The sequence below is a fragment of the Homo sapiens genome, chromosome 6 (genome assembly GCF_000001405.40).
Source record: "Homo sapiens chromosome 6, GRCh38.p14 Primary Assembly".
Classification (NCBI taxonomy): domain Eukaryota; kingdom Metazoa; phylum Chordata; class Mammalia; order Primates; family Hominidae; genus Homo; species Homo sapiens.
The window spans coordinates 65,941,697-65,945,694 of record NC_000006.12 but is presented as its reverse complement, the minus strand read 5'-3'; the positions used below and the strand labels follow the sequence as shown (position 1 = coordinate 65,945,694).

Genomic DNA, 3,998 nt, shown 5'->3' with positions numbered 1-3,998 from the left:
GGTAAGCTAACATCTTTCATGAAAGCGAAGCAACTATTAATCCAAGGTTATGCAACTCTATAAAATATATTAAATAGTCTATGAAGCAGTACATTTTGTTTGTGATTTGTGAGTTAATGAACTATAACAAGTTTCTCTTCACTACATTTTATTCTCATTTATCAAGTTTAAATTTTACTCAGGGGACTAACTATTATAGGTAACATCTAGTACTGTGGTACTTTTACTCTGGAAGCTATAAGTAACTGCAGGGACAAATGCAAACAAAAAAATTCATAAGCACTTCTGTTTAATGGGAAGCAAACATTTATAGTTTGTATGCCCAAAAGTCCATCTCATGAGAATAAAGTAACCAGAATTTAAAATTATAACCCAATTAATTTAGTAGCTTCATATAAGCTCACACTATTTGATCATAATTTATTATACCAATCTTCTATTTGAAGTCATTTATTTGTTAATATATATTTATATGTTACAAAATAATATGTCTTTGAGAATATGTATTTTTTTGTACAATTTAAAGCAATTTCCTCATCAAAAATTTGTGGAAATAAAAAAGCTGAGTCAAAAAATAAGAAAGTTTTATTGTAAGTAAAATAATAAAATGTTCTCTAACAATAAAATTAACATTTGTTCTAATTATCTGCTAACTAGGCAGGGGCACGGTGGCTCACACCTGTAATCCCAGGACTTTGGGAGGCCGAGGCAGGTTGATCACTTGACGTAAGGAGTTTGAGACCAGCCTGGCCAATATGGTGAAACCCTATCTCTACTAAAAATACAAAAAAAAATAGCCAGGTGTGGTTTCACATGCCTGTAGTCCCAGCTACTGGGGAAGCTGTCGCAGGAGAATCATTCATTTGAACCCAGGAGGAGACAGAGGTTGGGGTGATTTGAGATCGTGCCACTGGAGTCCAGCCTGGGCAACAGGGTGGGACTCCATCTCAAAAAAAAAAAAAAAAAGAAAAAAATTATCTGCCAACTATAAACCAGATATTTTCAATAGAAATTTCTACAAAGATTGGAATGCTCTAGATCTTCCCTTTCCAATATGTTATCATATATCGCTAATGAACACTGAAAACATAACTAATGTGACAAAGAAACTAAATTTTCAGTTTTATTTAATATTATTTAGTTTAAATTTAAATAGCCATATATGGCTAGTGGTGACTTTATTTGATTGCACAAACAGACAAATAGAAACTTGTTTTGTAATTTACATTTTTGGATACTGTGAAGGTTTATTGTCTTTAATAAAATAATTGATCAAATGTATTTTTTGTGTGAGAATTTCATATGTATGGTTTTCATCTAGTTTTCTACTAGAGTCTTCCAGATGAAAATCAAAAGAAAAGAAAGAAAGCCAAATGAAAATCAAGGAAAAAAGAAAGAGGGTAAGAAGGAATAACGAATAGATGGAAGGATGGGAAGAAAGCAGAAAGAAAGAATAAAAGGAAGAAAGAATGAAAGGAAGGAAGGAAGGAAGGACATATCTGGGATGTACAGCATAGCAATGTAGATCCAATTTGGAAACTAAATTTACTCAATAAGTTAAATAGGAGATGTTTAATATAAATAATAGTTACTATGATAAAAGAGTAACTATAACATATAAAGTATCTCAGGTATCTGTATGGTACTCCAGGGCTGAGGGAGAATTCACAAGGAAGGACAAACTTCGAAGAGACTAAGGTCTTTTTAAAGAATATTTGATTTGAAGCACAGGATGGCAAAGGAGTTGGCTGACTTTGTCAAACTGGAGTTGGTCTGGTGTTGCTCAGCAAACAGTAGGTCATCTTCTAGAGTACAGGTGGAAGAGCAGATCAACAACCAGTAATGTGGATGCAGTGAAAATCCGGGTGTCTGTGGAGCTGGAGGCTTTTAGAGCATGCAGTGGAGTGGAGGCTTGCCAAGGGAGCCCAGGGGGCAGCTGCATGCAGGCTGTGCAAAATTCTACCTTTCATTTCTAGAGACCGCAGAAAAGTTACCACCAAGCCAAGTCTGCAAGGTCATAGAGGGACTGCATTTTGCACCCACGATTGTTGAACATCCTTGCTATGTTTGTAAATTTTCCCTGCTTATAAATTTCTGTTCCCTGGAGAAGAGAAGCCAAAGAATATAGAGGATCTTTTCTAGCTACAGCTAAAGCTAATTTAAGTTCATCTGAGCTAGGCAACTTCAATCATAATCACTTGTGTAGTCCTAAATTCAGAAGAATGTGATTTGATGAAAAGGACTCCCTGTAGATTTCACTTTGCTGGTGTTTGTGGCAGAGGATGTTCAAATGTGGGGGATATTAATAGTTACAAAGTTGAGTTTCAGAAACAGAGGAGGAATTTTTGTTAAAAGAAGCAGTGATTGGAATAAATCCAAGTCCTGACAGCAGAATCAACTGTGTCATTTTTGGCTCCTCAGGCCCGTTCTATAGAATTACATTTACAGCCATTTTTTTGGCAGCTTAGTCTTGAAGTTGCTTCTCTAGTCTCTAAAACTGTCAGTGAATTGCCCAATGTTCTTTACATAGGATCGGCTTCTTTTGCTTATAACTAAAAACCCTGATCAAAACAAAAATGTGTTCTAGGAAACGCTGCCAACTAAAAAGCTTCACAGAAACTAAGCAATTCTGAAATTGGTTATGTGGCCTTGTTGAGGAAGATGGACATAAAATCTTTGGTATTATTAATAGATAGAACTCTTGCTAACTGATGAAAAGTCATGAGGGAATGTTCACATTTTCTTCTGTGATAAGAAGGTAGTCTTTAGGTAACCAGAGTCAGGTTTCTTGCAAGCCATTGTCAGTTCCTATCACCTCCACGCACCATAACAGTTTCCAAATATAAAACTAGAATAAGATGCTAGCGTATCCTAGGAATTTCTAACTCATGAGCTGGAAGAGGTTGCTCATTTATAATAGATGAAACCTGGAAAGAATTGTGGAAATGGGTTTTGAGGATGCTAAAACAAGAAAATCAAAATATATTTTAGAGGAGCTCTATTTTTTAAAACCTACATTTACCAGAAATTATGGATTGCTTATACAAGTTTTGTTGATGTTGTTACTCAGTGATACACCCTACAACCCTAAAAGAGTAGCTAATACTTAATCTGAACTCAATAGGTATATCTGAAAAAGCGTACTAGTTCTAGCAGCTATAAAATAGATGTGGTTATTTATCCTGTGAATTAGGTGCAGTGGGTACTACAGTGTTACATGCTCAATAAGGTTAGGTGCACGTAAGAGTCACCTGAAGTGCTATTTAAAACATACTGATTCCCAAATTTCCACCTCCAGAAATTCTACTTAAATTGTGAAGAAAAGCTCCAAAATTTTTATTTTGCAAAAGTTTCTCAGGTGATACAAAATAACAAATCTTAAGAATTATAAAGAAAATAATTTGGGAGCAGGTATATCATATGTGCCCGCTTACCTCTAACTGAATCAAGAGAGCCCAAAATATAGTCATTTCTCTAGGTGTTAGAAAGGATTAATAAGTGAAGTATGAGTGTTATAGAAAGTGCTAATTTTTATTATTTATAGGGCAAAGATGACCAGGGCTGCTGTTGCTGCAGTAGAAATTATTATCTTTTCAATGTAAATGATAGAAGTAAATGATGAAGTAAGCATGACTGCCTTAAAAGAGACAAATGGGAGTGGTGATCAAAATGCTGTGGCCTAAAGGAATCCCTAATGGTGATTAATTTATCTTGGGGTTGCTCAGACCAAAAGAGACGGTCAGCGCTTCAAGTCAAAACTTAACTTGCAAACTGAAAATTCTGCAGATCTAGTGAACAGAGATCTGAATTTAGCTATGAAGAGAGAACAGAGCCCCGTATACAGACATAGGGCCCCTTGAGGAAATTGGAGACTGGAAACACATAACCATAACACAAATATGAAACATGTTTTTTACTCCTTGCCTGGAATGCCTTATGCTAAGGCACGAATTATTTGTCCCACTGCCAAGAAGACAAAAGCCACATGTTAAGGATGA

At 35.5% G+C, this 3,998-nt stretch overlaps 1 annotated feature.

Annotated features, from left to right (window-relative positions):
* Positions 2,608–2,777: an enhancer, noted in NCBI's record as "experimental_93800 CRE fragment used in MPRA reporter constructs". NCBI's record gives its function as "activates a minimal promoter by MPRAs in K562 erythroleukemia cells, with activity observed for the non-introgressed 6:66652896 variant allele {active_cell/tissue: K562}" and the evidence as "EXISTENCE:reporter gene assay evidence [ECO:0000049][PMID:34662402]".